Below are 25,031 nucleotides of genomic sequence, written 5' to 3'. Positions count from 1 at the left end.
GTGAGACCCCGTCTCTACTAAAAATACAAAATCTAGCTGGGGATGGTGGCGCGTGTGTGTAGTCCCAGCTACTTGGGAGGCTAAGACAGGAGAATCGCTTGAACCCAGGAGGCGGAGGTTGCAGTGAGCCGAGATCATGCCATTGCACTCCAGCCTGGGCAACAGAGTGCGACTCTGTCTCAAAAAAAAAAAAAAAAAAATTAGCTGGGGGTGGTGGCAGGCGACTGTACTCCCAGCTACTCAAGAGGCTGCTGCAGGAGAATAGTTTGAACCCGGGAGGCAGAGGTTGCAGTGAGCCGAGATTGTGCTACTGCACTCCAGCCTGGGCGACAGAGCAAGACTCCATCTCAAGAAAAAAAAAAAAAAAAAAAAAAAAGAATCGTATGTAGTCGCAGTGGCTAATGTGACGTTTTGATGCCTGTTGGCTTGGAGCCTTGCTTGTGTTTCTCATGTGGGATGCAACGGCAGATTCTCAACATTTAAAAAACACCTACGAATCAACGGGCCACTTAGTAAATTAGTAAATACTCACTAGCCGTTTGTCAATGGGTTAACTTGTGACTCAATCTGATTTCCCTAAAACAATTTCAACCTACTCTTTTTCCAGGTCATTTTAAACTCTCAGAGTGAACGTCTTGATAGGACCGACAAGACGCATGACATGTACTTAGAAAGCTTATCTTAGAGCCACACTGAGATTGGAACCCGCAAAATATGCCAGGTGAGAGAGCCTTCTCCGACTTTGAACATGTAAGAGGAAGCCCATGAGAATTTTTCCATGAAGCATGTTGTCTCATAATTCAAAAATTAACGCATAAAAATAGATTATCGAGATAAAAACTAGCTCAGCAATAATAAATCTAGAGGTGCTACATGGAGAAATGAAGGACTGATTTCATAATTCTTTCGTGAAGTTCTGGGAAGCCAGGAACGGGAATGAGGGCATAGTTGGTGGCTCCTGGGAGGGCGACACAGTACTGAGTCAGGGGGCTGTCCCACAGGTCCCAGGGGAGCCCTGCACGGTCTGGGCCATGAGGAGCTGACCACCAGCCCCCCGCATCCATGCGTCTCCTGGTGCCGTTGCCCCTACTTCTGACCCACCAGGAAGGCTCTCTTCCCAGGAGGTCACTTGTGGCAGGAGGCGGGGGAGCGGGGGACAGCCTCCTCACCAGATGGGCACAGAGCCACAGACACCACGGACCTGGTGTCCAGAGGTGAAGGTCCCAAGGCTGCGTGAGGCCTGGAGCAGGGGGTGCGGGACTGAGGGGCACCGAGGCCCTGACTGAGACCGCACGGGCGACGATGTGTGGGGTGGGGGAGCCGTAGGAAGTCGGGGAGGGAACAGACCAGAGCGGCTCTGTGCAGGCTGAGGTGGGAGGGACCCCTCTGGCCACCCCGGGTCTTGCCTGCATCTCCCCTTGTGTTTTGGATTCTGGCTCTGCCTCCCAGGGCCTGTGATTGTCATGAAAGAGACGGGGCCGTGTAGGGGGCCCGAAACTTCCTCTGAGCTCAGGACTCGCACAGCGGGGCTGGGGCACTCGTTTGATGGGAAAAGAGCCATCTGGGTGAAGAACAGTGAGTGCAAACACAGGCGTTGGGCCTCCCACCCGAGAACTGCCTTCACTGCCCCCCGCCGCCCGCCACAGGCCTGTGTCTTGGGCGAAGTGGTGACAACTGAGTGTGAGGCAGCCCAGTCACACCCACTCTCTCCCTCTGCCCAGGGAGGAAGGTGAGCAAGGGACACGACACTCACCCGGAGAAACCCAGCAAGCGCAGCGAGGCTGTGGGGAGACCGGAGCCCTGCACACCGCCGGGGGAAGGTGGGCCAGCGCCACCACCGTGGAGAACAGCGCGGAGGCACCCCACGAGATGAGACGGAACTGCCGTGAGATCCAGCAATGCCAACTGTGGGTCTGACCCAGGAGAACGGAAAGCAGGGACGTGAACAGCCCTCCTCATGTTCTTGACACCGTCATTCTCAGCAGCTCAGCTAAGGCACAGAGGCAGCCGAGCGTCTGTCAGCGGAGTCGTGGCTGAGCAGAACACGCCACACGCCACACGCCACACGCCACACGTGCAGGATTGCTCAAGATGGAAGGGCACAGTGGAATATATATATATATTTATATTTTTGGCGAGACCCTGGAGGACACACTGAATACAATGGAATACCATCCCGCCTTTGAAAGGAAGGGAAATCCTGGCACACGCTGCAACAGGAGGGAGCTTGAGGACACTGTGGTGAGTGGAGCACGTGAGACACGGAAGGACACACGCTGAAGACACGCAGAGATGCCCACCCACGTGGGGAGGTGACAGGGGAGCCCAGCGCACAGAGACAAAGTGGAATGGAGGCCTGGGGGCTGGGAGCAAATGCGGAGCGAGTGCTTCCTGGGGCAGAGTCTCCGTTTGGGAAGATGAGAAGGTTCTGCCGACGGATGCTGGCGATGGTTGCAGAAGAATGTGAATGTGCCCAATGCTACTGAAAAACGGTTACAATGGTAAATTCCTTGTTATGTGTATTTTGCCACAATTTTCCACTTTTTCAATTTTTTTTTCTTGCGATTGAGTCTCACTCTATCGCCCAGGCTGGAGTGCAGTGGCACAATCTCGGCTCACTGCAGCTTCTGCCTCCCAGGTTCAAGGGATTCTCCTGCATCAGCCTCCCAAGTAGCTGGGATTACAGGTGCCCACCACGCCTGGCTAATATTTGTATTTTTAATAGAGATGGGATTTCACCATGTTGGTCAGGCTGGTCTGGAACTCCAGACCTCGGGTGATCCACCTGCCTTGTCCTTCCAAAGCGTTGGGATTGAAGGAATGAACGGCCCATGGGGCCGAATTTTTTTTTTTTTTTTTTTTTTGAGATGGAGTCTTGCTCTGTTGCCCTGGCTGGAGTGCAGTGGCGCAATCTCTGCCTTCCGGGTTCACACCATTCTCCTGCCTCAGCCTCCCAAGTAGCTGGGACTGCAGGCACCTGCCACCACGCCTGTCTAATTTTTGTATTTTTAGTAGAGACGAGTTTTCACCAGGTTAGCCAGGCTGGTCTCGAACGCCTGACCTCTAGTGATCTCCCCACCCTGGCCTCCCAAAGTGCTGGGATTACAGGCGTGAGCCACTGCGCCCAGCTGAATTTTTTAAATGCACAAAAACAAGTGGCCTGGCATGGTGGCTCACACCTGTAATCCCAGCACTTTGGGAGGCCAAGGTGGGCAGATCACCCAAGGTCAGGAGTTCAAGACCAGCCTGGCCAACCTGGTGAAACCTTGTCTCTACTAAAACTACAAAAATTAGATGGGCGTGGTGGCGAGTGCCTGTAGTCCCAGCTACTCGGGAGGCTGAGGCAGGAGAATCACTTGAACTTGGGAGGCAGAGGTTGCAGTAGCAGAGATCACGCCACTGCACTCCAGCCTGGGCATCAACACAGTTTTTTGAGACTACGTCTCAAAAAAAAAAAAAAGAAAAAAAAAGAGCGACACAATGGGGCCGCAGGGCTGACCCCGTTCGGGGTGACTTGCCCCATCGTGCTGGAGGTCAACAGGCCCTCAAGTACAGGAGGGAGGTCAAGGAAACTACGACATTTGCATGTGGAAGGTTCCTGAGGCCAGCGGGCTGGACAGTGCCCAGGGACCCCTGACCTCGCGCCAGGGCACAGCTGAAGTTTGCCCCGCCCGGGGCTGCTGTGGCCCAATAAGTTTGGCAACGCTCTGTCCGTCCGTCAGGTGCTGAGGCCAGGTCTGTCTGCGGCTTCCTGCTGACCTGGAGGTGGGACTCCATGATCTGTAACCACAGAAGGCCCAGAAGCATGAACTCAGCCAGAGTGGGCAGCCAGGACACTGGAGCTGGTGGCGCTGGCAGAGCTTGGGGAAGTCACACCACTGCACACCCTGCGTGACCTCTAGCAACCCCCTGGCTGGAAAGGATGAGTTTCTGACCTCGGAGAGCTGTGTTTGAGGCAGGTTGCTGAGATCACTTTGATCTCCTTTTCTTTTGCCCTCTCCCACATTTAAGGACTTTTGTGATTCCATTGGGCCCACCAGATAGTCCAGAATAATCTCTTTATTTTACTGTCAGCTAGTTAGCAACCTTCATTCAACTTGCAACCTTAGTTCCCCTTTCCCGTGTAACCTGCCATATCTACATGTCCCAAGGATTAGGATTCAGACATCTTTTGGGTGGGGTCATTAGTCTCCTGCCACCGAGAGGAGGGGTATCACATGACATAGTAATAAGAGGATCAATTCACCAAGAAGACAGAACCATCTGTGACTCCTATGCCCCAATTCACAGTAGCTTCAAATACGTAAAGCAAGCACTGGGAGAATACAAGGAGAGGTGGACAAATCCACCACTCCCACAGGAGCTTATAATTATCTTTTTTAGTAATTGATAGTTCACACAGGCAAATATGTGGTAAGACTACAGATTAGCCGGGCGCAGTGGCTCACGCCTGTAATCCCAGCACTTTGGGAGGCCAAGGAGGGCAGATCACCTGAGGTCGGGAGTTCAAGATAAGCCTGACCAACATGGAGAAACCCCATCTCTACTAAAAATACAAAATTAGCTGGGTGTGGTGACGCATGCCTGTAATGCCAGCTACTCAGGAGGCTGAGGCAGGAGAATCCCTTGAATCCGGGAGGCAGAGGTTGCAGTGAGCTGAGATCGTGCCACTGCACTCCAGCCTGGGCAACAGAGCAGAGGGAGAGACTCCATCTCCAAAAAAAAAAAAAAAAAAAAAAAGACTACAGGTTAGGAATTAGGATGAGGCAGTGCCCAGCTATGGGGCCAGGTGGGAAGTGGAGGCAAAGTGGGTCAGCGCTGGAAGGGCATAGTAGCAGCGCCTAACAGACTGCTTAGAAAAGCACTCACACAGCAATTACAGGATCAACATTCTTTTCAAACACACAAGCAACTTTTTTTTTTTTTTTGAGAAGGAGTCTCACTCTTGTTGCCCAGGCTGGAGTACAGCGGCACGATCTCAGCTCACTGCAACCTCCGCCTCCTGGGTTCAAGTGATTCTCCTGCCTCAGCCTCCAGAGTAGCTGGGATTACAGGTGCGAGCCAGCACGCCCAACTATTTGTTTTAAATTTTTAGTAGAGACAGGGTTTCTCCATGTTGGCCAGGCTGGTCTCAAACGCCTGACCTCAAGTGATCTGCCTGCCTCAGCCTCCCAAAATGCTGGGATTACAGGTGTGAGCCACCATGCCGGGCCAGAAGCAACATTTTTGAAAACCTCAGTGAGTTACAAAGACTCAGCATTGCCCAGACACAATGGCTCACGCCTGTAATCCCAGCACTTTGGGAAGCTGATGCAGGCGGATCACCTGAGATCAGGAATTCGAGACCAGCCTGGCCAACATGGTGAAACCCCGTCTCTACTAAAATACAAAAATTAGCCAGGCATGGTGGCACGTGCCTGTAATCCTGGCTACTTGGGAGGCTGAGGCAGGAGAATTGCCTGAACCCAGGAGGCAGAGGTTGCAGTGAGCCGAGGTTGTGCCACTGCACTCCAACCTGGGCCACAAGAGCAAAACTCCATTTCAAAAAAAAGAAAAAAGAAAAATGATTCAGTATTGCCCAGCCTGCATTCTTTGTCCATGACGCTGCTAGGTTGGAGATCCACTATCTAATAATTGCTCTAAAAAATCAATTTGGAAATGTTTTAAACACCTGCGTGTGTCTAGTCTGAGCTACCACAAAGCTTCTATCCTTTCTTCCCACAGTAGAGTCTCTCCCAGGTGGTTTCCAGGGACTCCCGTCCTCACTCTTGTCTCTGTCCCACAGGAAACGCCACCCCAGTGACCACCACTGCCCCGTGGGCCTCCCTGGGCCTCTCCGCCAAGACCTGCAACAACGTGTCCTTCGAAGAGAGCAGGATAGTCCTGGTCGTGGTGTACAGCGCGGTGTGCACGCTGGGGGTGCCGGCCAACTGCCTGACTGCGTGGCTGGCGCTGCTGCAGGTACTGCAGGGCAACGTGCTGGCCGTCTACCTGCTCTGCCTGGCACTCTGCGAGCTGCTGTACACAGGCACGCTGCCACTCTGGGTCATCTATATCCGCAACCAGCACCGCTGGACCCTAGGCCTGCTGGCCTGCAAGGTGACCGCCTACATCTTCTTCTGCAACATCTACGTCAGCATCCTCTTCCTGTGCTGCATCTCCTGCGACCGCTTCGTGGCCGTGGTGTACGCGCTGGAGAGTCGGGGCCGCCGCCGCCGGAGGACCGCCATCCTCATCTCCGCCTGCATCTTCATCCTCGTCGGGATCGTTCACTACCCGGTGTTCCAGACGGAAGACAAGGAGACCTGCTTTGACATGCTGCAGATGGACAGCAGGATTGCCGGGTACTACTACGCCAGGTTCACCGTTGGCTTTGCCATCCCTCTCTCCATCATCGCCTTCACCAACCACCGGATTTTCAGGAGCATCAAGCAGAGCATGGGCTTAAGCGCTGCCCAGAAGGCCAAGGTGAAGCACTCGGCCATCGCGGTGGTTGTCATCTTCCTAGTCTGCTTCGCCCCGTACCACCTGGTTCTCCTCGTCAAAGCCGCTGCCTTTTCCTACTACAGAGGAGACAGGAACGCCATGTGCGGCTTGGAGGAAAGGCTGTACACAGCCTCTGTGGTGTTTCTGTGCCTGTCCACGGTGAACGGCGTGGCTGACCCCATTATCTACGTGCTGGCCACGGACCATTCCCGCCAAGAAGTGTCCAGAATCCATAAGGGGTGGAAAGAGTGGTCCATGAAGACAGACGTCACCAGGCTCACCCACAGCAGGGACACCGAGGAGCTGCAGTCGCCCGTGGCCCTTGCAGACCACTACACCTTCTCCAGGCCCGTGCACCCACCAGGGTCACCATGCCCTGCAAAGAGGCTGATTGAGGAGTCCTGCTGAGCCCACTGTGTGGCAGGGGGATGGCAGGTTGGGGGTCCTGGGGCCAGCAATGTGGTTCCTGTGCACTGAGCCCACCAGCCACAGTGCCCATGTCCCCTCTGGAAGACAAACTACCAATTTCTCGTTCCTGAAGCCACTCCCTCCGTGACCACTGGCCCCAGGCTTTCCCACATGGAAGGTGGCTGCATGCCAAGGGGAGGAGCGACACCTCCAGGCTTCCGGGAGCCCAGAGAGCATGTGGCAGGCAGTGGGGCCTCTTCATCAGCAGCCTGCCTGGCTGGCTCCCTTGGCTGTGGGCAGGTAGCACGCCTGCTGGCAGAGGTACCTGGTGGCTGCCCTGTTCGCATCAGTGGCGATGACTTTATTTGCGGAGCATTTCTGCAAGCGTTGCCTGGATGCGGTGGTGCATTGTGGGCCCTCTGGGCTCCTGCCTCAGAATGTCAGTGAGCACCATGCTGGAGGTCACCCAGCACTGTGGCAGCGCCCAGGAGGGCATAGGGCAGCCTACCACCTCCAAGGGGGCAGGCGCCCTCATCTGGGGTTGGGTCTGTGCTGAGCTGGAGGGCCTCTAGGGAACCGTGGGGCAGGGTGGCCAGCTGCTGGCTCCCAGAGCGCAGCCCAGGCGTCCTCAACGGGGAGCCCCAAATGTCCACGCCCAGAACAACAGTTGGCAGGACAGGTGTGACACAGCCACAGCAGAGGCAAGGGGTGCCAGGAGTCCCCAGCGGCATCCTCGGGGAGATGCTGGTGAGGGGTCCGTACAGGGTGGGGTCCCCACCCCTAGCCCCTTACTGAGGGGGGAGTGCAGCAGTTGGCCTGCTTGTCTGGCGGAGAAAGCCAGCTCCCTGCACCCTCGGGGCTGAGTCAGATCTGGGTCTGCCGCAAAGGCCTTGCCTAGACCAGGTCACACTGATGCCCTGGTTTCCCTATCTGTAAAATGGGGCCAATGACACCTACCTCACTGGGTCACCATCGAGATCAATCCTCCTCCCTGCCCCGACACCTCGGGCACATCGCATGCACTCAGAGCACAGAGCCGGGCAGACGCAGCACCTGCATGGGGAGCCCAGTGCCCGGCACAGCACAGGGGCTTCCAGGGAGGCCGCGCAGGGCCGTGGGGCTGAGCCACGCTCTCGTTTTGTCAGGCAGCTATGCAGTTGCTCTTCCTTGTTTTTGTTTTGTTTTTGTTTTTGTTTTTAATATTTATTTTTTTAGAGACAGGGCCTTGCTCTGTTGCCTGGGCTGGAGAACAGTGGCACCATCATAGCTCACTGCAGCCTCAAACTCCTGGGCTCAAGCGATCCTCCCCGCTCAGCCTCCTGAGTAGCTGGGACTACAGGTGTGCACCACCACACCCAGCCAAAACAGCCATCCTCCCCTTGAGAGTCATCAGAAAAATACATTAGGAAAATGTGTTTAGAAATAAAAGCACAAGGCAGGGCAGTGCTCACGCCTGTCATCCCAGCACTTTGGGAGGCCGAGACGGGAGGATCAGTTGAGGTCAGGAGTTTGAGACCAGCCTCGGCAACATGGCAAAATCTTGTCTCTTTTTTTTGGTATTAAAAAAATCATAAAAATAAAAGAAATAATGCAATTTAACCTTCACAGTTAACATTTCTCCAATTTAACCTTCACAGTTAACATTTCTCCAATTTAACCTTCACAGTTAACATTTCTCCTGCCTTGAGAGGAGTGTGCCCCTAGGCTTCCAGAGGACAGCCGTGACCAGGGACTTGAAAAGTTGGGGCTGAGGTTCTGGACCAGTCTGGAATATTCAGGGCTGGGGCAAAAGGGATCATAACGATGTCCAGCAGGGGCTTTCCTGTGGCTGCTATAACCAGTTCCCACAAGTTGGTGGCTTAAAACAACAAACCGGGCTGGGCACCATGGCTCATGCCTATAATCCCAGCACTTTGGGAGGCCAAGGCGGGCAGATCACCTGAGGTCAGGAGTTCAAGACTAGCCTGGCCAACATGATGAAACCCCGTCTCTACTAAAAACACACACAAAAAAATTATCTGGGTGTGGTGGAGCACACCTGTAATCCCAGCTACTTCGGAGGCTGAGACAGGAGAATCGCTTGAACCCAGGAGGCAGAGGTTGCAGTGAGCTGCGATCGTGCCATTGCACTCCAGCCTGGGCAACAAGAGCAAAATTCCTTCTCAAAAAACAAAACAACAGCAACAACAAAAAAACACAACCAAAAACTGTTTACTCAGGCTGGGCGCGGTGGCTCACGCCTGTAATCCCAGCACTTTGGGAGGCCGAGGCGGGCGGATCACGAGGTCAGGAGATCAAGACCATCCTGGCTAACACAGTGAAACCCCTTCTCTACTAAAAATACAAAAAATTAGCCGGGCGTGGTGGCAGGCGCCTGTAGTCCCAGCTACTCGGGAGGCTGAGGCAGGAGAATGGCGTGAACCCAGGAGGCAGAACTTGCAGTGAGCCGAGATCGCGCCACTGCACTCCAGCCTGGGAGACAGAGCGAGACTCCATCTCAAAAAAAAAAAAACCACTGTTTTCTCACAGCTCTGAAGCCAGAGTCCACTTTTTCATCTTTTGCTGCCACACAGCAACAAATAAGAGCCTCGCTCCCACGTCAGATCCCAGCCTTGGGGACCGGGCGCCGTCTCACCCACCGGTAGGGACAGCAGGGCTAGGCTGAGACACGCAGAGTACCTGGCTCAGGCGAGGGACTGCCTGAACTGGCTGGTGTCACAGTGGCAGGAAAGTTACCAGGCATAGCCGGGTGAGGTGGCACCTGCAGTCCCAGCTGCTTAGGAGGCTGAGGTGAGAGGATCATTTGAGCCTGGGAGGTGGAGGCTGCAGTGAGCTAGCACTGCACCACTGCACACGGGGAGGCCAGGAGACAAAGGCCCGATGGGACCTGGGGATGACACCTCTGTGGCGGTTTCAGAGGGCGCCTGAGCGCAATGTCTGCAGTGAAATTTAAAAATGGACACCGGACCTGTGGGACCCACGGCAGTCACCATCAGGTGGGGAAGCTCTATGCAAAGACAAACCACTCAGAGTGAAACTCGGGGGGTGGGGCTTACCTGATGGGAGGGGCAGCTACGGGGACCTTGCCCAGGGTGAGGCCCAAATGGGACCAGGCACCCAGAAGGGAGGCCCAGCCCAGCCCTTAATGCTGAGACCCTCGAGGGCTGTGGGCGGAGGGCAGCAGGTTGAGTCCCTGCAGGACGGGCGCAGCTGGGGAGGTGGAGGTTACGGGCCTGCCTGGCTGCTCACCGCCCCGCGTCTGCTCTGGCAGTGAGAGAGGGTCACAGCATGGCTTTGTCATCAGCCACTGACCACTGACCACAGGCCCTGGCCCTGTCATCCAGCTTGTGCTGCTGGTGGGAGCTGCTGAGGTGGCCAGCGCTAGGGGCCGCCCTGTGTGGAGTCTGGGCTCACTCACTGTCTCTCTCACCATCGACCCCTTCCTCCGCCCCGCTTGACCTCACTCAGGCACTCCCTCCACGAGGTGCTCCTGGGGCACCCCAGGTAGTGAGGAGGCCACAGTGAAGGCCGCTGTGACCCACGCAGGGAGGCGGGAATGAGGAGGGGAGCCCCGAGGGCCACCCCTGCCTCCAGCACCATGCCCTGCCGCCCTGCCCTCCAGCCTCTAGCCACAGTTGCCTCTTCAGACAGGGTCCAGGAGGGGCAACACTGCTCTGCTCACTGCCCTGTCGTTACCTGAGTAACGGTGACAGGGAGAGAGGACCACACACCTCCTCGCCAGCTGGAGAGAAGCCCCCGGACCTATGGAACTGTTCTCCCAGGTCCTACTGTGACGAAGACACCTGCACACCAGGGGAAGGAGCAGTTCAGAAGCAGCACCTCAGGCTCTCCGGAAGGCCCTGTGTCCCGTCCACACCCGCTCCCCTCCGACCATCCCCACTCTGCCTGGCATGGCAGGGGCTGTGGATGCCTCACAGCGACAGCCCAGGGAGAGGCCGCATAGGCCAGGGAGGCAGGGAGAGTTTTGTTGGGAATTCTGGGATCCTACTGCCTGGAGTTGGGGCAGGGGAGCACAGCCCAAGGAGGTCACATCCTGGTGGCCCTGCAGCCTCCTGGCATGTGGGAGGACATGCCTGGAAGAGACAGCATGAGGGGGGACCACATATGGAGGACTTTTTTTTTCTTTTGAGACAGAGTCTTGCTCTGTCACCCAGGCTGAAGTGCCGTGGCATGATCTCAGCTCACGGCAGCCTCCACCTCCTGGTCCCCTGAATAGCTGGGACCACAGGCGTGCACCACCACACCCAGCTGGTTTTTTTTTTGTTAGGGACAGGGTTTCACCACATTGCCCAGGCTGGTCTTGAACTTCTGGACTCAAGCAATCTGCCTGCCTCAGCCTCCCAGAGTGCTGGGAGGGATTACAGGCATAGGCCACCACATCCATCCTTTTTTTTTTTTTTTTTTTGAGACAGGGTCTTGCTTTGTCACCCAGGCTGGAGTTGAGTGCAGTGGTGCAATCTCAGCTCACTGCAGCCTCTGCCTCCTGGGTTCAAGCGATCCTCACACCTCAGCCTCCTGAGTAGCTGGCATCACAGGCATGTGCCACCATGCCCAGCTGCCCAGCTAATTTTTACATTTTTTATAGGGACAGGGTCTCACTGTTGCTCAGATTGGTCTTGAACTCCTGGCCTCAAGCAATCTGCCTGCCTTGGCCTCCCAAGGTGCTGGGATCGCAGGAGTGAGCCAGCCCCCAGTGCTAGCAGTGCTCTTGGGTAATGAACGTGTGAATGAGAGCACACTGAATGGTCGCGTGGGGCGGCCACCCTCCTGAGGGACAGCTCACTATGGACAGGTGATACCACCACTTGGTACCTCCTTTCTTCATCCATAATTTGCGAATGGTGACAGTGACTGTCCCACAGGCCTGGTGGGGTATTAATTCAGATAGTACACGTCCCACACCTAAGATGAGCCTGGCACAAAGCAGCGCTCAAAAACACACATCTTCCTTTAACTTCCTCCTCGGTTCCCCCAATGGGGGATCTTGCAGGCAAAGTGTTGACGAAAGGTCCGCCCGTTCCCAAGAACGACCCTAGAGGGCGCCAGGCAGCGGGGCTTGAATGGACCGGGCGGGTTTCGCTTTCCCGCTAGTAGCCGCCCGCGGCCGCCAGGGGGCAGCAGCTGCAAAGGGCGCCCGTGGGCAGCCGGGCCGCGCCTGTGGCCACGCAGTGCAGAGGCGGCCCCATCCGAGCGCTCGGGCGGGCGGGAGCGGAGCCGGAGCAGTGTCCCCGCCACCGCGGAACCTTCGCAGGCGGAACATTTTGCACATCCTTCCAGACCTTTCCTAAATCCTTACCTGCCTGCACAGGCACTCGTGGAAAATACGCGATACTGCCTTGTGTGTATGCATTTATCCAGCTTTTTATTTTGAAATAATTCCCAATTTTGGGGCTGGGCGCAGTGGCTCACGCCTGTAATCCCAGCACTTTGGGAGACCGAGGCGGGCAGATCACGAGGTCAGGAGTTCGAGACCATCCTGGCCAACATGGTGAAACACCGTCTCTACTAAAAATACAAAAAAAAATTAGCTGGGCGTGGTGGCGTGTGCCTGTAATCCCAGCTACTCGGGAGGCTGAGGCAGGAGAATCGCTTGAACCAGGAAGTCAGAGGTTGCAGTGAGACTCCGTCTCAAAAAAAAAAAAAAAAAAAAAAAAAATCCCAATTTACAGAAGGTGGCAAACACCGTGCAAAGAGACCCGGATATTCCTGTCCTGCAGATTCGCCATCTGTGAACATTGCCCCGCTATTCCTTCTCTCGCTCCTGCTTATATGGCATTTGAGAATAAGCTGCAGACTCCAGGCTTGCTCCCCTAAACAGCTCAGAGAGTATTTTGGAAATAAACGAACTCTCTCCCAAGTAATTGCAGTGAACCTTGAAAAATCAGGAAGCCACCACTGATCCAATGTCCCCATCGACTCCGCAGAGCCCCTGCCAATTTCCCCGCTGTCTCAGTGAGTCTTTGTGGGTCTTATGGGTCTTTGTGGGATGGCCCTCGCTCTAGCCTTGCCTGTTTCCTGTGGCTTCTTCATTTCCAGGAGGAACCCCTCAGAAGTGAGACTTTCCTCTTACAGCAACCTACCGGAGGCCCACGGGGCCAATCTGGCCATCGCTGGTGATGATAACCCTCATCGCTTGGGTATGATGGTGTCTGCCGCCATTCCCCACTGAAAAGTTAATTAGTAAGCATTTTGCATTCATTAATGAATAAGCAATTATTACACCGTTTCTGGGGAGAGAATTTGAGGTTTCCACTATGAGGTCAGGCTTACCCTTCTCTCTCATGTGTGTATGTGCGGGTCTCCGTCCATTTTGTCTTGCTATAAAAGATTACTTGAGACTGCATAATTTATCAGAAAAAAAAGAGGTTTACTTAGCTCACAGTTCTACAAGCTGAGAAGTTCAAGGGCATGGCCCTGGTGAGGACTTTCATTCTGTGTCACAAAATGGTAGAGAAGGCAGGGCACAGTTGCTCACACCTGTAATCCCAGCACTTTGGGAGGCTGAGGTGGGTGGATCACCTGAGGTCGGGAGTTCAAGACCAGCCCGGCCAACATGGTGAAACCCCGTCTCTACTAATAATACAAAAATTAGCTGGGCGTGGTTGCACATGCTTGTAGTCCCAGCTACTCGGGAGGCTGAGGCAGGAGAATCGCTTGAACCCAGGAGGCAGAAGTTACAGTGAGCCGAGATCGCGCCGTTGTACTCCAGCCTGGGCGACAAGAGCAAAACTCCATCTCAAAAAATAATAATAATAATAATCCAAGATCTGGGCACTAGGGGTGCTCACTGTTTCCAGATCTGTAGAAAATACATATGCCTATACACACACACATAGATATATACACACACATAGATATACATCTGTATTTCCAGCTATCCATATTGGAACTGGATTTGTACTGATATCTCCAATTTCAATCCACCCAGCCAGAAGTTGGTCCAGTCTGACCACTTTCCTAATTTGCAACTCCCTTCTCCGAAACGAGAGTCCTCAAATCCTTCATCCCCGATGCTTTTACTTATTTGTGCAATCCCCAGCCCTCTCCAACGTCTCTTTCTTGGCTCCTTGGCAGGTTAAAAGCTGGCCCTCAAGGAGGAGGGAAAGGGGAAGTAGGAAAAAGGAAGAAATGAATGGTCTGAGAGTTCCCTCTGTTTGCAAGTGAACAGTGAGCCTGCCAGTGTTCTGAACATGGGCAAGACATGAGACACCTGGGTCTGAGACAAAGACTTTGTTACTCACAGCACAGCAGGCAGCACGAGCTTCATATTCCCCCCAGCCCCCCAGCCCCACGGACAATGAGGAGTGGCTCCGGTGGATGCTGTACACACAGCTAAGGAACCCTGGGTTAGGAAACACCAGTCATTTAAAGGACTGCTAGCAAACCTGCCCAGTTTCTGCCCAGAGGGAGAAGCCATCTTTATTATCTTGGACAGCAAGCAAATTTGCCCTCTGCCTGGAGGGAGACACATGCATGACGCTGAGGATTCACGTGTGGACATTGGGACCCCAGGGCCTGAGCTGAGACCCCAGCACTGCCCTTTACTCTCTGGGACCTTGGACAAGTGACCCAACCTCTCTGTGCCTCGCTGTCCTCATCTGGAAAATGGAGACAATAACTGTATCCAGGTCACTGCTTTCTTAGGAAGATTAGCAAGACCAGTATACAACGTGCCAGGGTCATCTATGCTGGGAAGGGCTGAGTGGGCTGCAGACAGGGCCATGGATGGCCTCTCTGAGCAGGTGCTTTTGAGACCAGACCAGTGGAAGTGGGGAGCAACCTTGCAGCTGGTCTGGGTCAGGCGCAGGGCAAAAGCCCAGGGCAGGGAGCACTTCAGGTGCTCGAGAAGTGGTGAGAATCCACGGGGAGCAAGAGCCCAGGAAGCCAGGCATCGACAATGGAGTTCCCTCTGAGCACCTGAGACGGCTGTGCCGGGGACTCCTGAGCAGAGGCCAATGCAGCCAACTCGCATTTAAGGGCCCGCTGGCTGTCGTGGAAGTGCCTGGATACTCAGGAAGAGCTACAAGCATCTGGAGGCGGCCCAAGGGTGCAGGTGAGCCTCCGAACTGGGCAGCAGCGCGGGCGGTTGCAGGTGGGTAGATCCTGATGTGTGTGAAGGTGGAGCCGAGGACGCTGGCGGGCAGATGGGAGGTGGAGGTGAAAGAAAGAGGCTGCAGGAGGAACCCAGTGCTTCGGAGGAGCCTCAGGTAGCTGGTGGTCTTCCTCTCCTGTTACCACAAATTGCGTGGTTTCAAGCAGCCCACCTTTCTTAGCTTGCAGTCTGTGGGTCTCTGCTTACGCTGGAGTCAGGCGGCAGCTGGTCACGCTCTGGTCTGGAGCTCAGGGTCCCCTTCCAAGCTCGCTCCTGTCGCTGGGAAGCCGGGTGTGGGACTGAGGAGGTCCCTGCCTCCTTGTGGTGTCACTGATGGCTGCTCCCTGCTTCTGGGGGGTGCTCATGTTCCTTCTCACGCCCCCCGCCCTGTCTTCAAACCAGCATCCGCACCTTGAAGCCTTCCCAGGCTTGGACCTCCCTGACTCCCCCTCCTGTCACCAGCCACAGAAAACTGTCCTCTTTTCAAGGCTCCCGGGACTAGGTCAGGCCCACTTGGGAATTAGCGTTAAGCTCCACTCTGCCGTGTAAACTCGCCCGACCTTGGGAGTGGCACCTCCGCAGAGGCACCAGTTCCAGGGGCTGGCGCAGGGGAATCTGGGAGAGCACATGTTCTTAGAATTCGGCCTAAACTGGGGTGCTTAAAATAAGGGCACGGCTGACACGCAGTGGCCTCCTGGTTCTTTTGGTGCAGGGTGGATGGCGTTTAATCCAGGACTGGAGAGGCGCCTGGGGAGTAGGCGGTGACAGAGGGGCGGTGTGAGGGCTGGGATCCGGAGCCCTGCAACACTGGGAGGGGGCGGAGAGGAGGGATGCACAGAGGCTCACGAGGAGGGGCTGGTGGGAAGAGCAAGTGCAAGGGTTGGGCAGGGCAGGGCAGGGCCCACAAAGTTTGGCCCAAGGCCCCCAGTGGCTTGGAGAGGAGAGGAGGGTGGAGGACGGCTGGCAAGCCCATAGGTACATAAAGGCCTCAGGAGGCCAGCATGGTGACTCATGACTGTAATCCCAGCACTTTGGGAAGCTGCAGTGAAAAGATCGCCTGAGTCCAGGAGTTCAAGACTAGCCTGGGCAACATAGGAAAATCCTGCCTCTACCAAAAATACAAAAATTAGCTGGGCATGGTGGTGTGCGCTTGTTGTCCCAGCTGCTCGGGAGGCTGAGGTGGGAGGATGGATTGAGCCCGGGAGATTGAGGCTGCAGTGAGCCATGATCACACCACTGGTGGAGAAAGAGTGCACCCCAGGAGTTTGAGACCAAGAACAGCAAAGTAACTGTGGCCACGGGGGTGTGGGAAGGTTTTGGGGTATTTGCTAGTATGAAAGGAAAATATGGGGACCCCAAAATCACTAAGCCAAAGTGAAAAGTCAAACTGGGAACTGCTGGCAGGCAGACCTCCCTCCAATCCTATTTGTAAACAAGACAGCTACAAAGATTAAAAAGCTACATACCTCCCACACAAATTGCCCACAAGGAAATTCCTTGTGATGTGTTACCCGTGGAAGGTGCTCCCCACTCCCTGCTTCGAGTTGTCCCACCTTTTTGGAACAAACCAATGTGTTTCTGTTTCTTTTTTTTTTTTTTTTTGAGACAGAGTCTCACTCTGTCGCCCAGGCTGGAGTGCAGTGGTGCAATCTCAGCTCACTGCAACCTCTGCCTCCCGGGTTCAAGCGATTCTCCTGCCTCAGCCTCCCAAGTAGCTGGGATTACAGGCGCCTGCCATCATGCCCAGCTAATTTTTGTATTTTTGTAGAGACAGGGTTTCACCATGTTGGCCAGGCTGGCCTTGAACTCCTGACCTCAGGTGATCCACCCACCTCGGACTCCCAAAGTGCTGGAATTACAGGCGTGAGCCACCGTGCGCGGCCTTATGTATTTCTTTCTTTCTTTCTTTTTTGAGATGGAGTCTCGCTCTGTTGCCCAGGCTGGAGTGCAGTGGCACGGTCTCGGCTCACTGCAACCTCCGACTTCCTGGTTCAAGCGATTCTCCTACCTCAGCCTCCCGAGTAGCTGGGATTACAGGCGCCCGCCACCATGCCCGGCTAATTTTTGTATTTTTAGTAGAGACAGGGTTTCACCGTGTTAGCCAGGATGGTCTCGATCTCCTGACCTTGTGATCTGCCCACCTCGGCCTCCCAAAGTGCTGGGATTACAGGCGTGAGCCACCGCACCCGGCTGGCCTTATGTATTTCTTAAATGTGTTTGATTGATGTCTGTGTCTCCCTAAATTGTATAAAACCAAGCTGCACCCCAGCCACCTTGGGCACATGTTCTCAGGACCTCCTGACGGCTGTGTCACAGGCCATGGTCACTCATATTTGGCTCAAAATAAATCTCTTCAAATGTTTTACAGAGTTTGATTCTTTCCATTGACATGTTACTGGTGAAAGGTATCTGAGTTACTGGCAGTGAATCCGTACAGGTCTGTGGCAACCTCAATTCTTGCCTCCTCAGAAGAATTCGACCAATGGGCATAAGCAGAAGGAGAAACTGAGGTAAGTTTCAGAGCAGGGGTGAATGTTTATTAAAGAACTTTGGAACAGGAATGAAGGGAAGGAAAGCACACGTGGAAGAGGGCCAGGTGGGCGACTTGAGAAACCAAGTGCACGACAATCTATACAATTTTTCTTTTCTTTTTTTGAGACGGAGTCTCGCTCTGTCACCCAGGCTGGAGTGCAGTGGTGGGATCTTGGCTCACTGCAACCTCTCCCTCCTAGGCTCAAGCGATTCTCCTGCCTCAGCCTCCTAAGTAGCTGGGATTACAGTTGCACGCCACCACGCCCAGCTAATTTTTTTGTATTTTTAGTAGAGATGGGGTTTCATCATGTTGGCCAGGCTGGTCTTGAACTCCTGACCTCAAGTGATCCGCCCACCTCGGTCCTCCCAAAGTGCTGGGATTACAGGCATGAGCCACTGCACCTAGCCCAATCTATACAATTTTAATCATGTTGAGTATAAAATACAATTTCCATAAGCCTTTTATAACCTTTTATTAAGGACTGGGTTAATACTCCAAGAAAACCTTGTTAATCCGACACAGAGGCCCATATGCTGGGCTTACATCAGTGTGCCTTCAACATTAATGGTTAACTTATCTCTCAAAATCACCCCTTACAATCCACACACCCGCCTCTTCCGCGATAGTCCCTGGGCCTTCAGGAACTGAACTGTTTTAACTGGTTTTGGTTTGATTTCTGGCCTGTGTCTCAGGAACGCGGTTTATTTTGACTGGCATCTTCTATCGGGTCTGAGGATGAGGCTTTAACTGCTGTCAGTGTTTAAGATTTAGCAGGACTTTGGCTAGTGGGGGTGGCTCATGCCTGTAATTCCAACGCCTTAGGAGGCCGAGGTGGGTTGGGAACTCCTGGGGTCAAGAGTTCCACACCAGCCTGGCCAACATGGTGAAACCCTGTCTCTACTAAAAATACAAAATAGCCAGGCGTGGTGGTGCAAACCTGTAATCCCAGCTACTTGGGAAGCTGAGGCAGGAGAATCGCTTGAACCCAGGAGGCAGAGGTTGCAGTGAGCTGAGATCGCACCACTGCACTCCAGCCTGGGTGACAGAGCGAGACTCTGTCTCAAAAAAAAAAAAAAAAAAAAAAAAAAAAAAAAATTAGCAGGACTTGGTGTCCTTTTTAGACCCAGGAGTCAAAGCCCTGTAACTTAATGGCATAAGGATTTTAAAAGCACGTACAGAAAATTACACAGATGTAATAACTTTAATTTAAAAACATTTTAATCTCAATTTTTCTAAGCAAATCACAACTTAGGAATTATTTCAATAAAGTGTAAAAAGCCAGTTACCCAAAGGCAAAAGAAAAGACCTTCTGCAGTATGAGTGCTGTTCCCTGCGGGGAGTCCATTTAGATCACCGGCAAGGCAGAACTGATGACAAGGTACTTGAATTAGTTACACATAGTGTAGCAGGACAAGTCGCAGACAAAACTCCTCAGACACCGGATTAAAGAAGGAAGAGGTTTTTATTCAGCTGGGAGCGTCGGCAGACTCACGTCTCAAGAGCCGAGCTCCCGGAAAAAGAAATTCCTAGCCCTTTTAAGGGCTTACAACTCTAAGAGGTCCACGTGAAAAGGTCATGGTAGATCAAGTAAGCGTGAGGAACGTGACTGGGGGCTACATACATCAGCTCACAGAACAAAAAGTTTTACATTGCTTTCTCATACAATGTCTGGAATTTACAGATAACACCAGTAGTTTTGGTCAGGGGTTAACATTATTATTATTATTATTATTATTATTATTATTATTATTATTATTATTTTAACCACGAGGGCCAGGTGGTGGCGCCAAGGTCATCTAGCTATTTATCTTACTTCTGTTTCTTTCCAACTTTTTGCTTTCTCCCTTTTCTCTTGTCTTATAAACTAGGGAAAAGGGGAGGTGGGGGAGAAGCTGGGAAGGACAACAGGAGAAGTGGTGGTCTCATTCCACAATAGGAAGAGTGTTTCCTGGGTCATAAGCGAAAATTTTTGGATCCATAGAACAATTTAAAGCAAGAGCACAGAACGTTATGTTGGAAGGAAACGCGTCCTTTAGAACTCTAAAACAAAACATTTTCTAGCATCAGGTCACAATAAACAGAAGCTGAAGAATAAAAAACTTACAAGAGTTAAACACTAGTTGAAGGACAGAGTTATTCTTTCAGGCCTATTAAAAGGGGAGAGAAAGCGGAAAACAGAGAGGTGCAATGAAGTTGAACTTTGCATACAAAAATAATAATGTTGTGTAACTTTATTAAGAGTAAAGCAATACCTTAGGAAAATTTCATTGTTCAAACCAACTTTTTAGGAAGTTTTTAAATATCAAAACCTAATCTCTAGAAAGACCATTATAAACAATTTCCCTTTAATTATGACAACTATAAAAGTTTTTTCCATAAATCCTCTTCTTATGATTTACACAGACCATTCATGACGTTTGGACTTTCTGGTTTGTCCTGAACATCCCTCTTTCATGAACAACCAGTCATTTTATTCTAGGACAAAAATTCACCAAACAAGATTCTTTCTCATATAAAATTATTTTTCTCTAAGCATTTTTTTTTTTTTGAGACAGAGTCTTGCTCTGTCACACAGGCTGGAGTGCAGTGGCATGATCTCGACTCATTGCAACCTCTGCCTCCTGGGTTCAAGCAATTCTCCTGCCTCAGCCTCCTGAGTAGCTGGGATTACAGGCATGTGCCATTGTGCCTGGCTAATTTTTATATTTTTGTAGAGACGGCATTTCACCATGTTGGCCAGGCTGGTCTTGAACTCTTGACCTCAGGTGATCCACCTGCCTCGGCCTCCCAAAGTGCTAAAAAGGATTACAGGCATAAGCCACTGCACCGAGCCAACTTTTTTTTTAATACTAAAAATGCCTCTTTATTTTTCTTTCTTTTTTCTTTTCTTTTTTTTTTTGAGACGTAATTTTGCTCCTTGTTGCCTAGGCTGGAGTGCAATGGTGCGATCTCAGCTCACTGCAACCTGTCTCCCAGGTTCAAGCAATTCTCCTGCCTCAGCATCCCAAATAGCTAGGATTACAGGCATGTGCCACCACGCCTGGCTAATTTTGTATTTTTAGTAGAAACGGAGTTTCACCATGTTGGTCAGGCTGGTCTCAAACTCCTGACCTCAGGTGATAATGCCCACCTCAGCCTCTCAAAGTGCTGGATTACAGGTATGAGCCACCGTGCCCAGCCTTTTTTTTTTTTTTTTTTTTTTGAGATGGAGTCTCACTCTATTGCCCAAGCTGCTGGAGGGCAGTGGCACGATCTCAGCTCACTGCAACCTCTGCCTCCCGGGTTCAAGCAGTTCTCCTGCCTCAGCCTCCCGAGTAGCTGTGATTACAGGCACCCGCCATCATGCCTAGCTAATTTTTGTATATTTGTAGAGACAGGTTTTCACCATGTTGGCCAGGCTGGTCTCAAACTCCTGACCTCAGGTTATCTGCCCACTTCAGCCTCCCAAAGTGCTGGGATAACAGGCATAAGCCACCGCTCCTGGCCATGGCCTTTTATAACTTTCTTTACATCTCTTTTATTTCCTGGTTCCCTTTACCTTGTTTTATACATAATCTTTAAATAAGCTTTAAATTACACAAAAATTGGCTGGGTGCGGTGACTCATGCCTGTAATCCCAGCACTTTGGGAGGCTGAGGTGGGTGGATCACCTGAGGTCAGGAGTTCAAGACCAGCCTGGCCAAAATGGTGAAACCCTGTCTCTACAAAAATACAAAACTTAGCTGGGCATGATGGCGGGTGCCTGTAATCCCAGCTACTCAGGAGGCTGAGGCAGGAGAATCGCTTGAACCCAAGAGGCAGAGGTTGTAGTGAGCCAAGATCACACCACTGCACTCTAGCCTGGGCAACACAGTGAGATTCCGTCTCAAAAAAAAAAAAAAAGGCAGGAGAATCACTTGAACCCGGGAGGTGGAGGTTGCAGTGAGCTGAGATCGTGCCACCCACTGCACTCCACCTGGGCAATAGAGAGACTCAGTCTCAAAAAATATATATAATCATAAAAATAACAATAAATAAATTAGACAAAAATTATTCATCTTTTAACAAGAACACACATTTTTTAGAAAGAATGTTTTCTTAGTTTTTTTAATTGAAAAATACCTATTTAAGGAAATATCTGCTATTTAACTTAATATTAAACTTTAGGTTCTAAATTATGGCATTTGTCTACAAGTATGTATCCCATTACATACACCTAATTATTTTATATTAATAGTTTACCTGCATTATTTATGAAAACTGTGAGTCATCATGTAAAGTTATTTCCCTGTCAACCATTTTATAGCCTGTGAATTTCAGATATTTAGGTGAGTAGAAACCTTAAGATTAAATATATGGTTATTTTACTAAATAATTCAATATTTAACTGTTTTCATTAAAACAGTATTAACGTCTTATTTATCAAAAATTACACAAGCAGGAAAACTTACCCAAGCCAAGATCATTCTGTGTTGGGCTGGGTTTATAGTTTAATGAGCTTTATGCCAAATGTTGGCACCATTTATTATTTGGCAGGGATAAGAATGAAATCTCTTGATCAATAAATGCAAATAGAAATGTATGCTGGCTGGGCACAGTGACTCACACCTGTAATCCCAGCACTTTGGGAGGTCAAGGCAGGCAGATCACCTGAGGTTGGGAGTTTGAGACCCCAGCCTGACCAACATGGAGAAACCCTGTCTCTACTAAAAATACAAAATTAGCTGGGTGTGGTGGCGCATGCCTGTAATCCCAGCTACTTGGGAGGCTGAGGCAGGAGAATTGGGTGAACCCGGGAGGCGGAGGTTGCCGTGAGCCAAGATTGCGCCACTGCACTCCAGCCTGGGCAACAAGAGCAAAACTCCATCTCAAAAAAAAAAAAAAAAAGTATGCCGACAATTCATAAGACTGTTCTAATATCACCTTACCAAAATTTTAAAGCTAGCTTATTAAAGATTTTACTTAAGTCACATGAACTTGAAAAGCATTTCGGTTATTATTTATGAGTACTCTATAACTTTAAGCCAATTTGGTACCTGTGGCCAAAAACACATAACAAAATACAGGTATATACACATAAACACACACATACACACTCAAAAATCCTATAGCTTTTACTTTAGAACTCTAGCCATGCGATATTAATACAAACTCATTGGTTTGCGGAAACAATAACAAAAAGAAATGGTTGGATGCAAACAGTGGATTTTATCTCAGTAGAAAAGTAACAGCAGACTTAAAGCAGGGAAAACACAGCAGAGAGATAGAGAACTTAGGAACTTTGGCCGGCTGTGGCGGCTCACGCCTGTAATCCCAGTACTTTGGGAGGCCAAGGCAGGCATATGACCTGAAGTCAGGAGTTCAAGACCAGCTTTGCCAACATGGTGAAACTCCGTTTCTACTAAAAAATACAAAAATTAGCCTGGGCATGGTGGCGGGTGCCTGTAATCCCAGCTACTCAGGAGGCTAAGGTAGGAGAATCACTTGAAACCAACAGGTGGAGGTTGCGGTGAGCCGAGATGGTGCCATAGCACAACAGCCTGGGTGACAGAGCGAGACTGTCTCAAAACAAAAGAAAAAACAAAAAAAACCCACTTAGGAACTTGACAGTTGCAGGCCGACCCTCAGGCGCTGCATTTTCCTTGACGTAATTGTGCACAGAAAGACCATATTTCCATTTTATACAAACACTTGCAAACAGAGGCATCATAAAACCAAACGGGGGCCCAAGAGGCGTTGCTTTCCTTGGCTTTCCTCATTCTTAGATGATTTGTTTCCCACATTTTTTTCTCAAAAGGAGGAAGTGACCTGTGGCCTAGCAAGTGTCATGGGTCAAACTGTGCTGGTTGCGGGTGGGACTTCACAGTGTCACCACGAGTCATTGCTGCCCTCTCACGTGTCTCAATTTCTCTCTCCGGAGGTCTAAGTGTCTCAATTTCTCTCTCAGGACGTCTAAGTACCTCCAGAAGGGCTCAAAGTGCGGAGTGAGCCACTCTTACATGCGCTTCCTGGACAACCTTTTAAACTAATTTTGTTGGGGGTTTCCTGTAGGACCGTCGCACATCGCAGCGGGTCAACCCCCCGGACACTCCTGCTTGGCCCCCATTCACCCAGGAGCACCTTTCCACTGGGAAAAGCAAAATGTCCTTTCTTTTTGGAGCTGAGGAAACTCAATCTCTCATTTACCTATGAAAACAACAGTTGAGTTCCTCATGCAAATGTGCATACAAGGCAATGGAGAAGACCCTTTAAAATGCACCTCCGAACTAGAATTAGGATCCTAAACAACAACTTCCCAGGGGGAAAAAATCCCAGCCAAGACCACTTCCTATAAACTGTCCTCAGCCACCCCTAACTTTGTAGCTCTCGCCCACCATGATTATAAACGCCAAGCTCAAATCCTCTCATAGCGCAAGGTCATCTCTGGTACCCCCACAAAGCCAAAGAATACAGGTAATGTAGCAGGAGCCAGAGCCTTAGACCCAGAAGGACCTGTCCATGACTCTTGAAACGCCACCAAGAAAACAGAACACCCCAAAAGGGGTGAGTGGTGCCATTGTTCTGAGTTCTTTACAGGATTTGAGTCATTAGACACCTCTAGATTTTTTTCTTGGTACTGAAGTTGGTGAAGGGGAAGGAGGAACAGGGTGGAAGAAAAGTAAGACAGGAAGCAAACATGGAAACCGAGAGCGCGACCGGGAGCGAACGCGGAAACCGAGAGCGCGACGGGGAGCGAACGCGGAAACCGAGAGCGCGACCGGGAGCGAACGCGGAAACCGAGAGCCTGACGGGGAGCGAACGCGGAAACCGAGAGCCTGACGGGGAGCGAACGCGGAAACCGAGAGCCTGACGGGGAGCGAACGCGGAAACCGAGAGCGCGACGGGGAGCGAACGCGGAAACCGAGAGTATGGTTTTGTTTTGGTTTTCTCTTTTGCATCTGTGAGGAATTTTAGGTAATTCAGAAAGTCCTTGTTCCCCATAATTTGGAATTCTCATTCGGATTTGACCAAGGCAGGTAGAGTGGGTCAAATCTAATGGGAGAAAGACCGGAAAACATTTTTTTAAAAAAGATCCCAACAATATGATTACTGAGCACTCTAATGGTAAAGAGAAACTGAGACCAGCTGGTTGTTAATCATAACTTTAGCCAAGACGAAAACCCAATTAAGCTACTTACCTAGGAATGGGTCTCAGGCTGAAGACTGCCATCTTCCATTCTAGAAGCAGGGGAAAACTCAAATTTGCCTTCCCTGTTGAAAGCAGGCTCGAACTCCGGAAAGGAGTTATCTGCCTTCCACCGTCATGGAAGCAGGAAAACTTGCCTTCCTTGTTGGAAGCAAGTAAAACTCCAAAAAAAGGAGTTGTGTTACAAGAAAGGGGTCCCGATCAAGACCCCAAGAGAGGGTTCTTAGATCTCGCACAAGAAAGAATCAGGGCGAGTACATAAAGGGAAATAAATGTTGTTAGGAAAGTAAAGGAATAAAAGCATGGCTACTCCGTAGACAGAGCAG

General features: G+C 51.4%; 1 protein-coding gene and 1 long non-coding RNA gene across 5 annotated transcripts in view, besides 4 other annotated features; one reads left to right on the top strand and one right to left on the bottom strand.

Moving 5' to 3' along the window:
• Positions 1–8,493, top strand: part of GPR132 (G protein-coupled receptor 132) — a 16,036-nt gene extending 7,543 nt beyond the window's left edge. For 2 of the 4 annotated variants that reach the window (NM_013345.4, NM_001278694.2), the window contains 3 exons: positions 608–721; positions 1,722–2,501; positions 5,786–8,493. In NM_013345.4, the coding sequence (NP_037477.1) occupies positions 2,468–2,501; positions 5,786–6,894 (1,143 nt within the window). In that variant the 5' untranslated portion in view covers positions 608–721; positions 1,722–2,467 and the 3' untranslated portion in view covers positions 6,895–8,493. The remainder of the gene's footprint in view (positions 1–607; positions 722–1,721; positions 2,502–5,785) is intronic. The other 2 variants (NM_001278695.2, NM_001278696.2) reach the window with 2 other exon arrangements.
• Positions 1,503–2,278: an enhancer, noted in NCBI's record as "H3K27ac-H3K4me1 hESC enhancer chr14:105521947-105522722 (GRCh37/hg19 assembly coordinates)". NCBI's record gives its function as "activates a minimal SCP1, AML or CMV promoter by ChIP-STARR-seq in primed H9 embryonic stem cells {active_cell/tissue: H9 hESC(primed)}" and the evidence as "EXISTENCE:reporter gene assay evidence [ECO:0000049][PMID:30033119]".
• Positions 2,111–25,031, bottom strand: LOC124903398 (uncharacterized). Its single transcript, XR_007064368.1, has 2 exons — positions 24,698–25,031; positions 2,111–2,479 (listed from the first exon to the last, which is right to left on the bottom strand). It is a non-coding gene; the product is annotated as an uncharacterized LOC124903398 (long non-coding RNA).
• Positions 10,303–10,402: an enhancer, noted in NCBI's record as "active region_9129". NCBI's record gives its function as "activates an Ori minimal core promoter by ATAC-STARR-seq in GM12878 lymphoblastoid cells {active_cell/tissue: GM12878}" and the evidence as "EXISTENCE:reporter gene assay evidence [ECO:0000049][PMID:35858748]".
• Positions 11,938–12,197: a silencer, noted in NCBI's record as "silent region_6213". NCBI's record gives its function as "represses an Ori minimal core promoter by ATAC-STARR-seq in GM12878 lymphoblastoid cells {active_cell/tissue: GM12878}" and the evidence as "EXISTENCE:reporter gene assay evidence [ECO:0000049][PMID:35858748]".
• Positions 23,777–24,278: an enhancer, noted in NCBI's record as "H3K27ac-H3K4me1 hESC enhancer chr14:105499947-105500448 (GRCh37/hg19 assembly coordinates)". NCBI's record gives its function as "activates a minimal SCP1, AML or CMV promoter by ChIP-STARR-seq in naive H9 embryonic stem cells {active_cell/tissue: H9 hESC(naive)}" and the evidence as "EXISTENCE:reporter gene assay evidence [ECO:0000049][PMID:30033119]".

Source organism: Homo sapiens, chromosome 14, assembly GCF_000001405.40.
Source record: "Homo sapiens chromosome 14, GRCh38.p14 Primary Assembly".
Lineage (NCBI taxonomy): Eukaryota > Metazoa > Chordata > Mammalia > Primates > Hominidae > Homo > Homo sapiens.
This window is presented reverse-complemented; position numbering and strand designations above follow the sequence as displayed.